Source organism: Homo sapiens, chromosome 6 (assembly GCF_000001405.40).
Source record: "Homo sapiens chromosome 6, GRCh38.p14 Primary Assembly".
Classification (NCBI taxonomy): domain Eukaryota; kingdom Metazoa; phylum Chordata; class Mammalia; order Primates; family Hominidae; genus Homo; species Homo sapiens.
The window spans coordinates 150865345-150879498 of record NC_000006.12 but is presented as its reverse complement, the minus strand read 5'-3'; the positions used below and the strand labels follow the sequence as shown (position 1 = coordinate 150879498).

The following is a 14154-nucleotide window of genomic DNA, read 5'->3' as shown; positions in this document are numbered from 1 at the left end:
TGGTCAACATGATGAAACCCTGTCTCTACTAAAAACACAAAAAATTAGCCAGGCATGGTGGCGGGCGCCTGTAATCCCAGCTACTTGGGAGGCTGAGGCAGGAGAATGACTTGAACCCGGGAGGTAGAGGTTGCAGTGAGCCAAGATTGCACCACCGCACTCCAGCCTGACAGAGCGAGACTCCATCTCAAAAAAAAAGAAAGAAAAGCAAATTCTGCTGCAGACAGTGGGTATCGTGCAAATGAACAACAACTTCCTTTGCATGCTGTCACTGCTGGTATCATAGGTATTTGTTACATATTTAACACTTCATATTTGTACCACGCTACAATGGCAAGTGTGGCAAACACTTATCGCCCAGTATATAGTTTCCTTTCTCTTCTTAGTAATAAACTCTTGGTTTTTAGCTTGCTAATAAATGATCTAAGGCTTCCTGGTATAAAAACTACACTTCCCAGCCTCCTTTGCAGTTGGCCAGGCAACTAAGTAGGGGACAACGGGATGGATGTAGAACTGTGACTTTCAGGAAATGTCTTTAAAGACAGCAGGGGCCTGTCTTTGTCCTTCCTTTTTCTTCTTGGTGACAACGAACTTTACCTGAGCCCTGTGATCCTGGAAAAGAGGGAAGGTTAACAAATCCCTGCAGCCTCTGTGTACTGCAAAGAACTGCTCTTCTCCATAGGACTCAAATAAGACTCACCAATGCCCCCTTGTTTACATAGCACAAGGCCAGATACAAACTCTACAAATTCCCATTCTTTGTCTCACAAATGACTAGCAGACCTGCTGGGCCTCACTGATCAATCAGAACAAAGTGCTTGTTAACCAAACCACAAAGGCGGCAGAGCAGAGGGACAGGAGCCTGAGCTCCTGCGACTTGGTGATATCACCAACCAGGGACTGCCTACTTCCAAACTTTATTCATGTCCCAGAAAAATACACTTCTAGGCCGGGCACAGTAGCTCACACTTGTAATCCCAGCACTTTGGGAGGCCAAGGAGGGTGGATCACTTGAGGTCAGGAGTTCAAGACCAGCCTGGCCAAAATGGTGAAACCCCATCTCTACTAAAGATACAAAAATTAGCCAGGCGTGGTGGCACGCACCTGTAATCTCAGCTACTCAGGAGGCTGAGGCAGGAGAATTGCTTGAACCTGGGAGGCGGAGGTTGCAGTGAGCCGAGATGGCACCATTGCACTCCAGCCTGGGCAACAAAAGTAAAATTCCATCTCAAAAAAAAAAAGAGAGAGAGAGAGAAATAAACTTGTACATTATTTAAGATTCCATTATTTGAGGTTTTCTGTCACATGAAGCCAGTAGGAAGAAAAGCTAACCACAGAAGGGCCGGGCCCTGGCACAGGGATCTGTGGTCCAAGGTCCAGTTTCCTCGCCTCGGCCTGACAATTTCCACTAGATGACGCTGCCACCGCAGCTGAAGAAACACAACCGAACTCAACAAGTCGCAACTCAAGTCTTCAGTAGAAACATACAAATGACAAGAAACAAGGATATCATGAAGCATTTACCCTAGAGAAAAGAAGTGAAGTCTTCCCTCTAACATTCAGTCACAAGCAAATCTTAGATCTGTCCCAGCCACCACTAAGAGACGCCAATGGGCCTATTAAGTCTCAAGAGGAAAGAAGAAGCAAGAGTTTAGAGCTCTGCCATTATTACCTCGGCTTCACTGCTATCTGGAGGGAGGCAAATGTGAGTGATGTTCAGACCAGCCTGAAAAAGGAACACAAGGTTATTCGTCACTATAAGAGAATGTATTGTTAAAAGTTATAGTGAATTTTTTAAAAGCAGCAGTCCTCACCTCCTCAGCCAAATTCTGGTTGATTTCCTGCATCAAGTTGTCGTCACCTGCCTTAGGAAGGTAAAAACAACATAACAACATAAAAATAGCTTGAAAAGGCACAAAAGATAATCCAGAGATGAATTTTGTGATTACAGATGATCTAATTACAAAGATAATATGGAAGGTGCAGAAAAACAATCTTGCTGCTTATAAAAAGGGACTTGGGGCCAGTATTTAACAGAGTAATTCCTCAGGCCTTCAAATTATGTCACTTTTTTAAGGAAAATAATATCCCTCCTATTAGAAGACATAGTAACCTAGCCAGCTTTCCTCTCTAAAAATGAGGACACCGACTGGGCACAGTGGCTCATGCCTGTAATCCCAGCACTGCAGAAGGCTGAGGCGGTGGATTGCTTGAGCCCAGGAGTTCGAGACCAGCCTGGGCAACATGGTGAAACCCCATCTCTACAAAAAATACAAACATTAGCCCGGCGTGATGGTGCATGCCTGCAGTCCTAGCTACTCAGGAGGCTGAGGTGGGAGGATCACTTGAGCCCAGAAGGTCAAAGCTACGGTGAGCCAAGATCATGCCACTGCACTCCAGCTCAGGCAACAGAGCAAGACCCCATCACAAAAAGAAGCCAAAAAATGGGGATACCAAAGGTAGGAGTTGAAATGGTTTGCCTTTAGATGGAAAGCCAGGGAGTAAGCAGATTCCCAGGAGGCCCGAGCCCTAATCTAATTTTCTTTCTATTGTTCTAACTTGTCTTTCTTTGTAACAAGATGTGGCTACAGATCCCAGAGAATGTAAGTAACTTGAGCACAGCTCTGTAATCCTGAAATACGCAGCACGGTGGAACCAGAGGCTGCTATTTTGATACGCTAAGGGCATGCCAAGCCCTGCGGTAGCAGCCCAACTGTCAGGCTGTGTTTGCTTCCAGGCTTGGCTCACCTCCTTATTTCTCAGCACCTGCCATCACACAAGTGTGCCAAGCAGGATGGCAACTGGGGCCAACTGTGGCTCAGAACCAGAGCCTGCAGCCAAAAGAAGTATGTGGAATGCAAAGCCCTTTTGACAGGGTAATGACTTTTGTCCCATTAAGTTTATGGCAGGTTTTAAAAGATAGAGTAAAAAGATTACCAAATATCCATGTTTCATCTAGCATCTGTGTCCATTGAAACAAAGTGCCACTTTTTCCCCCAGCACCTTCAAATCACATTTGGTAAGCATTTGTGAGGACACATGGACCACGATATATCCTGTGTAATGCAATGCATGTAAGTGCTTACCTCCTAGACCTCTGAAAGCTACCCATACCTCAGAGAGGAAAATTCACAAAAGAAGACACACTCAAGCAGGGCAGTACTTCACCCGTGACCCCAAAGAAGCAAAAGACCAAAGAAAACAGCATTGCCAACTGAGCCCTCTCCTCTTTGGCAAGAAATGCAGCTGCTCTTTTGTATACAATCATTTTCTAAATTGAAAGGCATCCTAAAATAGTAGGACTGAACCTTGTTCTCGGCTTACCTGGATAATTGCAAGAACCGGCTTGAAGGCAGGGTTTTTTTCTTGCAATAAACTTAGAACTTCTTTTGAATTCTGAATGACTTCTCTACATTGAGAAAGAAAACAACATTGTGATTTCTTGGTTAATGAGTAGAAAGGACTGACACAACACATTTTCTGTGAAAGTTCCTTCCTCCAAGTGAAAATAACTAGACCACAGAAGGACGCACTCCAAGTGTACACTGTGGAGGGGGTAGGCGGCGTAACAATGAAATCAAGACACTAACACAAGGTAAAATGCGGCAATCCAGTTTTTAAAATATGCAGAGGGAAACAAACTAGATGTTTACAATAATTTTCTAGGGGTGAATTTTTCTCTTGTATTTTCCAAGTTTACTATAATAAAAGCTTTGGGTTTCTACTTTAAATAATCGCTCTCCTCCACCATACTCCGCTGCCATCCTCCCAAAACCCTGAGTATGGGTCCATGGGGAAAGCAAATAAAGTGGGAAGAGGGATGTGAAGACAGGGGATTAGGGGGGTGAAGACAGGGGGCTCACTGTTGGACAAGAAGTGTCGAGACAGGATAAATTCCAGGTCCTGGAATTTAAAGAAGGAATTAGGTAAGGAAGGAAGGGGAGGAAAGTTCCAGAAACACTGGAGACCCACTTTGATAACACTATCAAAGCCTCCTAGAGAGAGAGACAGAGAGCTTCTCAGTCCTCTGAGAATCCACAACATAGTCTGCACCTGTACCTCCTAAATGCCCAGCAGCAGCCACCTTCACCTCCCACCTCTGAGGGAGGTGCCAGCCTGGGGTGAGCAGGCCTAGGTAAAAGTGGTAGAAGGCCTGGCATGGTGGCATGCACCTGTAGTCCCAGCACTTTGAGAGGCCAAGGCGGTAGGACTGCTTGAGACCAGGAGTTTGAGACCAGCCTGGGTAACATAACGAGATCCCATCTCTATAAACAATTTAGCTGGGCGTGATGGCACGTGACTGTAGTCCCAGATACTTGGGAGGCTGAAGCTGGAGGACCGCTTGAGCCCATGAGTTTGAGGCTGTAGTAAGCTATGACTGCACCACTGCACTCCAGCCTGGGTGGCAGAGCAAGACTCAATTTCTTTTTAAAAAAAGAAAAAAAAAAAAAGTCCAGGAGCGGTGGCTCACGCCTGTAATCCCAGCACTTTGGGAAGCTGAGGCGGGTGGATCACAAGGTCAGGAGTTCAAGACCACCGTGGCCAATATGGTGAAACCCCGTCTCTACCAGAAATACAAAAATTAGCTGGGTGTGGTGGCAGGCGCCTATAATCTGAGCTACTCGGGAGAATCTCTTGAACCTGGGAGGCAGAGGTTGCAGTGAGCCGAGATTGTGCCACCGCACTCCAGCCTGGGCAACACAGCAAGACTCCGTCTCAAAAAAAAAAAAAAGTGTTAGGAGCTCAGCTCTTTATGGAACCTTCTGGGATGAGTGACTGCAGAGGCTACCTTCGCCACCACCCTATGATATGTTCTCAGCAGCACATGAGCACTGGGAGCTGGCTTTTCCCCCTCTCACAATAGACCAAAGGCGCAGCCACAGGAGCCCCCAGGCTTCAGTGCTAAGACCACCTTTACATTTTGTTTTCAGTCTCCGACAGGGTCTTGCACTGCACCTAACAAAAATGCGGGGTGAAGAAGTTCCAGCCAATGCCATCAACGGTACACTGCCAAGAGCAGAAAGGCATCGGGAAGCTTTCCCCAGTTTTCAGAGAGACACAGCTGACAAATGGAACCAGAGGCACTGCAGTTCCCAGGCGGGGCTTTAGGGGAGAGAGCTGCTCAGATTCACAACCAGGACCAGTCTTTCTACTGCCAGCTGGGCCGGAACAGATGGACTGGGTGCAGGCAACTGTCTATAACCTGGGAACATTTCAGTTAGTTTTGTTTGGAAACACTTGGGATAAAGCTACTTCATTCCCAGGGAATTAATTGTATTATTGTGCTGAATAAATGTGACCATATGGGAAAGTTTACAAATCACCTTATAAATAAGCACTAAAATCCATCCATCCAATAATGGGTGACTGAGGCCCATATACCGCACTCTTTCCAGCCTGTCGTGACTGTTAATTTGGCTATGCTGGGTTCTTATTTTTGTCTGGGTCCAGGAAAGCACCGGAGTGTGGGACCCAAGCGGTTCATGGTATAAGGATCACTGGAGAGTTTGGTAAAAGTAAAGGTTCCAGGCCAGGTGCAGTGGCTCACACCTATAATCCCAGTACTTCGGGAGGCCAAGGTGAAATGGATCACTTGAGGTCAGGAGTTTGAGACCATCCTGGCCAACATGGTGAAACCCCATCTCTAGTAAAAATACAAAAATTAGCCAGGCATGGTGGTGCACACCTGTAATCCCAGAGCTACTCAGGAGGCTGAGGCAGGAGAATCACTTGAACCCAGGAGGCAGAGGCTGCAGTGAGCCAAAATCATGCCACTGCACTCCAGCTGGGTGACAGAGCGAGACTCTGTCTCAAAAAAAATAACAGTTCCAGCCCTAGAAAGTCTGATTCAACGTGTCTCAGTGGAGCCCAGAAATGTGCATTTTTAACAGAGTCCAGGTAATTCTGAGACACTAAGTGGAAATACGGCCCAGGATTGGTACTGGGCATTTCATTTACTAGCGTGGACAAGTCTCTAAGAGTCTCAGATTCCTCATCTGTAAAACAGGTATACTACAGTGGCTCTTTCCCCTTTTTCTTATAAATGTACGTTTGTTTTTTTCTGTGCCCCAAAGCTACCCTTAAACACTAAAAACATTCTTACTAACAGCAATAATTTTCTCAGAAACATTCATAGTCTTGATCCATTCATAGTTGATGAAAGGAACACTTCTTTTTATTTTTTTGAGACGGAGTCTCACTTTGTTTCCAGGCTGGAGGGCAGTGGCACGATCTCGGCTCACTGCAACCTCCATCTCCCAGGTTCAAGCGATTCTCCTGCCTCAGTCTCCTGAGTAGCTGGGACTACTGGTGCATGCCACCACGTCCCACTAATTTTTGTATTTTTAGTAGAGACAGGATTTCACCAAGTTGGCCAGGGTGGTCTCGATCTCTTGACCTCGTGATCCGCCCACCTAGGCCTCCCAAAGTGCTGGAATTACAGGGGTGAGCCACCTCGCCGGGCTGAAAGGAACACTTCTATAGGTAAGTCGGCAATCGTCAAAAAGTAATTAGACTTTTAAAATAGTTGGGGATGGGGGCTGGGCGCAGTGGCTCATGCCTGTAATCCCAGCACTTTGGGAGGCTGAGGTGAGAGGATCACTTGAGCTCAGGAGTTCAAGGCCAGCCTGGGCAAGATAGCAAGACCTGGTCTCTACCAAAAAAAAAAAAAAAGTTGGGGGGTGGATGTGGATAGAAAAAAAAATACAGGCATACATCATTTTTTGTGCTTTGCTTTACTGCAATTTACAGATACTGTGTTTTTCTACAAATTGAAAGTTTGTGGCAACCTGTGTTTTAAGTCTATGGGAGTCATTTTTCCAATGGCATCTGCTCAATTTGTGTCACATTTTGATAATTCTTACAATATTTCAAACTTTTTCATTTTTAGTATGTTTGTTCTGGTGATGTGTGATTGACGATCTTTGATGTTACTGTTGTAATTGTGTTGGCCAAACCGTGGCCATGATGGTTCATGATGGTGTGTGTTCTCACTGCTTCACTGGACTGGCTGTTCCCCCTTCTCTCTCCCTCTCCTCTGGCTTCCCTATTCCCTGAGAAACAACAATATTGAAATTAGGACAATTAGTAACTACAGTGGCCTCTAAGTGTTCAAGTGAAGAGTTGCAGGTCTCTCACTTTAAATAAAAACCGAGAAATAATTAAACTTAGTGAGGAGGGTGTATTGAAAGCCAAGATAGGTCAAAAGCTAGGCCTCTTGAGCCAAACAGTTAGCCAAGCTGTGAATGCAAAGGAAAAGCTATTGAAGAAATTTAAAAGTGCTACTCCCGTGGATACACAAATGATAAGAAAACAGCCTTATTAGGCCGGGCGCAGTGGCTCACACCTGTAATCCCAGCACTTTGGGAGGCCGAGGCGGGCGGATCACGAGGTCAGGAGTTGGAGACCAGCCTGGCCAACATAGTGAAACCCCGTCTCTACTAAAAATAAAAAAATTAGCAGGGCATGGTGGTGCACGCCTATAATCCCAGCTACTCGGGAGGCTGAAGCAGGAGAATTTATTGAACCCGGGAGGCAGAGGTTGCAGTGAGCAGAGATCGCGCCACTGCACTCCAGCCTGGGTGAAAGAGTGAGACTGTCTCAAAAAATAAAATAAAATAAAATTAAATTAAAATAAAATAAAATAAAATTAAAATAAAATAAAATGACAACAAAGGATTTATAAGATTACAGTAGTTAGGCAGGCACAGTGGCTCACACCTGTAATCCCAGCAGTTTGGGAGGCCGAAGTGGGCGGATCACAAGGTCAGGAGTTCGAGACCAGCCTGGCCAATATGGTGAAACCCCGTTTCTACTAAAAATACAAAAAAATTAGCCAGGCGTGGTGGCAGGCGCCTGTAGTCTCAGCTACTCAGGAGGCTGAGGCAGGAGAATCACTTGAACCTGAGAGGCGGAGGTTCCAGCGAGCCGAGATCGCAGCACTGCAGTCCAGCCTGGGCGACAGAGCAAGATTCCATCTCAAAAAAAAAAAAAAAAAAAAAAAAGATTACAGTAGTTGATATCAAGTACTTGGTAAAGCAGTTGCAGGGTTTGAGAGGATTGACGCCCATTTTGAAAGAAGTCCTACTACTGTGGGTAAAATGTTACCATTTTCTCTGTAGCACTGCTACAGAGAAATCTTCCAGGAAAGGAAGAGTTCCATCAATACAGCAAACCTCATTGTCTTACTTTAAAAAACTGCCACAGCCACCCTAATCTTTAGCAATCACCCTGATCAGTCAATAACCATCAACATCTAGGCAAATCCTCCACCAGATCACTGGCATTTCTTGGTAATAAAGTATTTTAAAATTAAGGTATATATATTATTATTAAGGTGTATATATATATTACCTTATATATATATATTAAGATATATATTAATATATATTATATATATATTAAGGTGTGTATATATATAATTAAGGTATATATATTAAGGTATATATATTATAAGGTATATATATAAATTAAGGTATATATAATTATATTATATTATAATTAAGGTATATTATATTATATATATTTTATATATATAATATATATATATATGTTTTTTGGGTTTTTTTGTTTTGTTTTGTTTTGAGACGGAGTCTCGCTCTGTTTCCCAGGCTGGAGTGTAGTGGCTTACCACAACCTCCGCCTCCCCACAACCTCCACCTCCCGGGTTAAAGCGATTCTCCTGCCTCAGCCTCCCAAGTGGCCAGGACTACAGGCGCACACCACCATGCCTGGCTAATTTTTGTATTTTTAGTAGAGACAGGGTTTTACTATGTTGGCCAGGCTGGTCTCGAACTCCTGACCTCGTGATCCACCCACTTCAGCCTCCCAAAGTGCTGGGATTACAGTCATGAGCTACCACGCCCGGCCTTATATATGGGTTTTTTTTTAGACAAAACGCTAGTGCATACTTAATAGGCTACAGTATTGTCTAAACATAACTTTTATATGCACTGGGAAACTACAAAATTTGTGTGACTCGTTTTACTGCGATATTCCCCTTATTGCAGTGGTCTGCAACTGAACCCACAATATCTTAGGGGTGCCTGTACAGGTATGTAAAGGAGTTCAACGCTACTACCACCCAAGCTAATAAAACAAAATAGGTTCATGCTCCCTACAACTTGTTATATGTGTAATGTTTCATTTTTTGGGGTTACTCATTCCTACAGTGACAAAGCAAGAAAGAAAAAGGAGTCATTAGGCTCAATAAATCCAAAAAGTAGCATAAATGTTTCTAATCAGAGATTTTCATGTCCTTGGGGCAGAAAAATGGCCTTGTGAGCTTCCACTTTGGTTGAGGACAGTGGGAAGGAATGTGAGCTCTCTAGCTAGGTTGCCATGTGTAGCTAAAACTCAGAACTAAGCCATCAGCAGCAGCTTTGTTATTTTCACCATTACTGTGACTATTATACAGAATGTATTATTACTGGCCAGGGGCAGTGGCTCATGCCTGTAATCCCAACACTTTGGGAGGCCAAGGCGGGTGGATCATTTGAGGTCAGGAGTTCAAGACTAGCCTGGCCAACATGGTGAAACCCCGTCTCTACTAAAAATACAAAAATTAGCTGGGTGTGGTGGTGCCTGCCTGTAATCCCAGCTACTTGGGAGGCTGAGGGATTATGGTCATCTAGTCCCATCACCAGGAACAACAGGTCACTATGCTTTTGAGGGAGCTCATTCTTTAATTTTTCTGACTAATACACTTCCGCTCCTGGATGTCTATTCCAGGTGACTTCTAGCTGACACACACCCCCACCCACTTTGCTCCAATCCTCGGAGAATCAATTCAGGGCTAGAGTTTCAGTAAACCATGCACATAACTCAATTGAAAGGTACAATATAGCCAGGCGTGGTGGCTCATGCCTGCAATCTCAGCACTTTGGGAGGCTGAGGCAGCAGGATCACTTGAACCCAGGAGTTTGAGACCAGCCTGGCCAACATAGTGAGACTTCATCTCTACAAAAATAAAATTGCAGCCATAAGAAAGCATGAGTTCATGTCCTCTGCAGGGACATGGAAGAAGCTGGAAACCATCATCCTCAGCAAACCAACACAGGAACAGAAACCAAACACCCCATGTTCTCACTCATAAGTGGGAGTTGAACAATAAGAACACGTGGACCCAGGGAGGGGAACATCACACACCAGGGTCTGTCAGGGGGTGGGAGGGCAAGAGGAGGGAGAGCATTAGGACAAATACCTAATGCATGTGGGGCTTAAAACCTAGATGACGGGTTGATGGGTGCAGCAAACCACCATGGCGCATGTATACCTATGTAACAAACCTGCACGTTCGGCACGTTTCCCAGAACTTAAAGTAAAATAGAAAATAAAAATAAAAGTTATGGTTACCCTATACTGCCATCTATTAAGTGTGCAAAAGCATTGTCTAAAAAATGTACATACCTTAATTAAAAATACTTAATTGCAAAAATAAAAAATAAGGTCTCACTCCATTGCCCAGGCTGCAGTGCAGTAGCGCAATCTCCGCTCACTGTAGCCTTGACCTCCTGGGCTCAAGTGATCCTCCTGCCTCAGCCTTCTGAGTAGCTGGAACTACAGGCACGCGCCACGCCCAGTTAATTTTTTAAAATTTTTTACAGAGATGGGTGTCTCACTATGTTGCCCAGGCTGGTCTTGAACTCCTGGGAATGTGATCATCCCACTTTGGCCTCTCAAAGTGCTGGGATTACAGGCATGAACCATGGTGCCTGGCCTAAATTTGTCTTTTCTCTTGTTATAAATGTACCTACTAATAATTTTGATTTGCCTCTAGGATCACTAAACCTAAAATATTTACTATCTGGCCCATTATATATAAAACGTCTGTGGACCCCTGGCTTAGTGAATTGTAAAAATATTGCTGGGCATGGTAGCTCACACCTGTAATCCCAGCACTTTGGGAGGCTGAGGCAGGCAGATCACGAGGTCAGGAGTTTGAGACCAGCCTGGCCAACATGGTGAAACCCCGTCTCTACTAAAAACACAAAATAAGCCAGGCGTGGTAGTGCGAGCCTGTAATCCCAGCTACTCAGGAGGCTGAGGCAGGGGAATCGCTTGAACCCGGGAGGCGGAGGTTGCAGTGAGCCGAGATCCCGCCACTGCACTCCAACCTGTGCGACAGAGTGAGATTCCGTCTCAAAAAAAAAAAAAAAAAATTAATAGCCACCATTTGTTGAGGGACTTGTCTTGTATGTGACAGTCCTGGGCTATGTATTTTGCATGTGTCCTCTCACATAATTGTTTCCATAACCCCTTGAGGTAAGTACTGTTACTCCTCCCATTTTCCTGAAGGAATTGAGTTTGGAGAACCCAGTGCAGGCCCTAAAGCCCCCTACTAACCTCTTTACTCATCTCTAAGGCAGTCATGGCTTTAAACCTAAAAGTATGCATGAATAGCCCAGGCGCGGTGGGTCACGCCTGTAATCCCAACACTTTGGGAGGCCAAGGCAGTCGGATCACCTGAGGTCAGGAGTTCAAGACCAGCCTGGCCAACATGGTGAGACATCCTGTCTTTACTCAAAATACAAAAATTAGCCGGGCGTGGTGGCGTGCTCCTGTAATCCCAGCTACTCGGGAGGCTGAGGCAGGGGAATCGCCTGAACCTGGGAGGCAGAGGTTGCAGGGAGCCAAGATCGTGCCATTGCACTCCAGCCTGAGTGACAGAGCAAGACTCCGTCTCAAAAAAAAAAAAAAAAAAAAAGAATATGTATGAATAAAACCCACAGATGACCCCAAATCTTGAAGCATTCCTTCTGTAACCATTTCACAAGTGCTTATTACATGCTGGGCACTCTCTCCAGGACCTAGGATATAGCACCGAAGAGACGGCTGTCTCATGAAGCTCATATTCCAGGTGGGTGAGACAGACAAGAAATGAGCAAAGAAGGAAGTTTCAGGTAATAATCAGTTTACCTAGAAAATAAAACAGCATGACGGGAGAAGTTTTTTTGCCGCCTATCCTGGCTTCAGACTCTAACCGGTAAGATGAGTCTCAGCAACGTGCAGGTTAAAACCTAATGACCTGACGTGTAATTAATCCCAGCGCTTTTGGGGGCAGGGATGATGGCTTGCGCCCAGGAGTTCCAGACCAGCCTGGTAACAGAGTGGTGCTCTGTCTCTATGAAAATAAAATAAAATAATCCGGGCATGGTAGCGCACACCTGTGGTCCCAGTTACACTGGAGGCTAAGGCGGGAGAATCGCTTGAGCCCAGGAGGCGGAGGCTGCATTGAGCCGAGATGGCACCACTGAACTCCAGCCTGAGCAACAAAGCGAGACTCCATTTCTAAAAGAAAAAGAAGACAGAGAACAAGAAAAACTAAATAAATGGCCCCTTAAAATCATCCGCCACATAATAAAGAGCCTAGGAAACGTATTTTACTGAGATGGGAGAAGGGGAGTGGGGAGGAAAATGGGAGAGCAGAGGGAGGAAGGAAAGGCAGAGAGAAAGGCAAGCAGGCAATGACTAAGAAAGAAGGCTAGAAGGAAAGGGAAGAGGATGTGAATGGAGGAGGTGGTCCGCTGGCCGGGGAAACCGCATCCTGGAACTCGTTCCTAATCCCAGTTCCGAGGGAGGCGGAAGGGGCTTTCTTGCCACCCCCAAGTTGTCCCGAAGGGCTCGCCCTGCAAGGCCCGAGACCCGTGCGCCCCTCTGGGCGAGGGCGGGGAAGGCTGGAGCCCAGGGGCGGGGACCGGGACGGGAAAGGCCGGGCCCGGGGCTCCCAGTTCGCTCTGGGCCCGCAGAAAACCCTGCAAACCCAGCTGCGCGGGGACTCCGTGGGCGCTGCGCGGCGAAGCTGGAAACCAGCGCTGAGACCTCTCGGATTCCCCCCGGCGGCTGTCCCGGGGGCCCGGCTCCACCTTTGCCGTTCCGGGAAAAGCGGACGTCAGCCACAGACCCCAGCCCAGCAGGAGGGGCCGCGCGCGGGGAAGGGCGCACAACACCAGGGAGCTTCGCGCGGGCGGCGCTGGGCCCGAGCCCGCCTCTCCCGAGCTCCGCTTGCCCTTCCCGAACCCCGGGCCAGCCGGCGCGCCGAGCCGCAGCCCCGCCCTCCTCCTGCTCCTCGCCCCCTCCCCTGGTTTCCGCCCCAGCCGCACCGCCCCTTTACCGTCTGGGTCGCGCCCGGCGCGATTGCATCAGAGCCGGCGGCCGGCTGCGCACGTGGAGCCGGGCGTGCGGTCCATGCCGCTAGGCGCCCATTGGAGATGCCCACGCCCACCTGCGCTGCGGGCCCGGTCGGGTACTGGATCCCCCGTTCTCCGCCAGCGCTCCCGGCCGCAGTGCCCAAGCCCGCGTTTCCCGACACACCGCCCGGCCCCCCTAATGAGTTGGCACCAAACACTCGCAGCCCCGCGCCCCGCTCCCCACGGCGGTCCCGGGCGCTCCGCCCCTGGGTCGGGGCCACAGCCGCTGGAGACCTGGGCCAGGGCCAGACCCGACACTCACCTGACGATGGAGTCCCGCGCCGCGGGCGTTCGGCCGCCGGGGCTGCAGCTGCTCCGGGCCTGGCCATCCTGCGGCCGCCGCTGTCCAAGCAGGCCCTCCCGGCCACCGCCGCCGCCTCCGCCGCCGCCGCTGCTAGCGCGACAGGGCACACGGAGGCGGCGCGGAGGGCCCGGGGGCTGGGGCGGGCGGCGGAGCTGGCGCAGGACGAGCGGCAGACGCGTGCCCATGGCGCGGGACGGCTGGTTCTCAGGGGACACGGAGCTGCGGCTGCCGAGGGCGGCGGGGCGCGTGCCAGGGGAGCAGGCGGCGGCGGCGGCGGCGGCGGCGGGAAGGACCTGGCGCTTCCTCCTCGTCCCAGGGGCCCCTAGGGGGCACTGCACCCGGCGGCCGTGACGTGCGGAGGGCGGGGGCCTGCGAGCCGCCGGCCGGGATGTCACGGCTTTGGGCACTTTGGTTTGGTAAGCTGTACCAGACAGAGGGTGGGGTGCGGAGTGGGACTCAGACTCTGCCCTGAGACTCAGCCTCCCTCCCTTCAGCCTGAAAGGCCGAGGTGACCCTTGGTACTCAGGGCGCCAAGTTTAGACGGGAGGGCTTGGATTTGCTGTACTGGAGGTGGCCTGAGGATAAGAGGCTTTGTAACCTTAGGCAGGGGCACTTAATCTCGGTGAGCTTGCGGGGTCTTCGTCAGTACCACAGAGATAACAA

General features: G+C 48.3%; 1 protein-coding gene across 36 annotated transcripts in view, besides 4 other annotated features; it reads right to left on the bottom strand.

Annotated features, from left to right (window-relative positions):
• The window catches only part of MTHFD1L (methylenetetrahydrofolate dehydrogenase (NADP+ dependent) 1 like), a 236186-nt gene extending 222389 nt beyond the window's left edge, over window positions 1-13797 (bottom strand). For 21 of the 36 annotated variants that reach the window (NR_146719.2, NM_001242767.2, NM_015440.5 and 18 more), the window contains exons 1-4: window positions 13450-13797; window positions 3325-3409; window positions 1815-1865; window positions 1673-1726 (exon numbers count right to left, since the gene is read on the bottom strand). Coding sequence is in view for 34 of the 36 variants with exons in the window: in NM_001242767.2 (NP_001229696.1) it covers window positions 1673-1726; window positions 1815-1865; window positions 3325-3409; window positions 13450-13676 (417 nt within the window). In the remaining 2 variants the exon portion in view is untranslated. Of the gene's footprint in view, window positions 1-1672; window positions 1727-1814; window positions 1866-3324; window positions 3410-11916; window positions 13053-13111; window positions 13167-13449 lie in introns of those variants that run through there. The other 15 variants (NR_146720.2, NM_001350492.2, NM_001350487.2 and 12 more) reach the window with 6 other exon arrangements.
• Window positions 12626-12775: a silencer, noted in NCBI's record as "silent region_17684". NCBI's record gives its function as "represses an Ori minimal core promoter by ATAC-STARR-seq in GM12878 lymphoblastoid cells {active_cell/tissue: GM12878}" and the evidence as "EXISTENCE:reporter gene assay evidence [ECO:0000049][PMID:35858748]".
• Window positions 12896-13095: a silencer, noted in NCBI's record as "silent region_17683". NCBI's record gives its function as "represses an Ori minimal core promoter by ATAC-STARR-seq in GM12878 lymphoblastoid cells {active_cell/tissue: GM12878}" and the evidence as "EXISTENCE:reporter gene assay evidence [ECO:0000049][PMID:35858748]".
• Window positions 13256-13665: a silencer, noted in NCBI's record as "silent region_17682". NCBI's record gives its function as "represses an Ori minimal core promoter by ATAC-STARR-seq in GM12878 lymphoblastoid cells {active_cell/tissue: GM12878}" and the evidence as "EXISTENCE:reporter gene assay evidence [ECO:0000049][PMID:35858748]".
• Window positions 13726-13955: a silencer, noted in NCBI's record as "silent region_17681". NCBI's record gives its function as "represses an Ori minimal core promoter by ATAC-STARR-seq in GM12878 lymphoblastoid cells {active_cell/tissue: GM12878}" and the evidence as "EXISTENCE:reporter gene assay evidence [ECO:0000049][PMID:35858748]".